Genomic DNA, 945 nt, shown 5'->3' with positions numbered 1-945 from the left:
TTTGTGGCTACCGTGGCTGGTTCCTGTGCACAGTGACAGTGTCCAGTTCTGTGTGTCTCTGCTTTTCTGCCTGTGAGCTTTCTCCAGCTCCATGCAGGGCTGCCCGGAAGCTGGTGATTTAACTTTCCCAGGAGTGACCTCAGCGACTGAGAGACGGAAGTCAGCGGATGAGTGCTCCCACCTTCCTTCCCATCCCTTGCAGGAGCACTTCTGATCGACACGGCAGCTCACAGGGTCCCCAGTGGAACTGAGTTGCAGTCGTCCACGGCAGTAGTTCTTGTGAACATAGCTTTTTGGGCTTTTCTGTCTTTCCTGTCTCATTTTCCCCCATTCCTGCAATTGTATCTCCTGGATCATCCCTTGAATAAACTACCTGTGCTCAAGTCTTTGGTGGCTCAGGGCTTGATTTCAGGGGAATGCAAGCTAGGACGGTGTCTACCTAGCCTCGTTCCAAAGAACTCTTAAGGCAGAAGCAAGAGTGCCACATTCCGTCACATTACAGCGTGCTAAAGACTGGTTTTGTTGGCAGGGCGCGGTGGCTCACGCCTGTAATCCCAGCACTTTGGGAGGCTGAGGTGAGTGGATCATGAGGTGAGGGGTTCGAGACCAGCCTAACCAGCATGGTGAAACCCTGTCTCTACTAAAAATACAAAAATTAGCCGGGCATGGTGGGGCACTCACCTGTAGTCCCAGCTACTCAGGAGGCTGAGGCAGGAGAATCGCGTGAACCTGGGAGGCGGAACTTGCAGTGAGCCGAGGTATACGTGCTCTAAAGAAAATGAAAGAAGGTGATGCAATAGTGGATGCCTAGGGAGGGGGTAAGGACCTTTGCTCTATATTGAAGAGTCAGGAAAAATCCTTCTAGGAGATAACATTTGAGCTGTAAGCCACCTTCCTCCCCTCTCCTTGCCCCTGCCCCATACTCCTATGCCTGAACACATGCCC

At 52.3% G+C, this 945-nt stretch overlaps 1 annotated feature.

Moving 5' to 3' along the window:
* Positions 340 to 523: a silencer, noted in NCBI's record as "fragment chr16:74103850-74104033 (GRCh37/hg19 assembly coordinates)". NCBI's record gives its function as "represses an EF-1alpha promoter that drives an FKBP-Casp9 reporter gene in an ReSE screen in phorbol 12-myristate 13-acetate-treated (for megakaryocytic differentiation) K562 erythroleukemia cells {active_cell/tissue: K562(+PMA)}" and the evidence as "EXISTENCE:reporter gene assay evidence [ECO:0000049][PMID:32094911]".

Source organism: Homo sapiens, chromosome 16 (genome assembly GCF_000001405.40).
Source record: "Homo sapiens chromosome 16, GRCh38.p14 Primary Assembly".
NCBI classification, from domain to species: Eukaryota; Metazoa; Chordata; class Mammalia; order Primates; family Hominidae; genus Homo; species Homo sapiens.
Note: the sequence above shows the minus strand (reverse complement) of the source record. Positions and strands in the feature narration are given on the sequence as shown.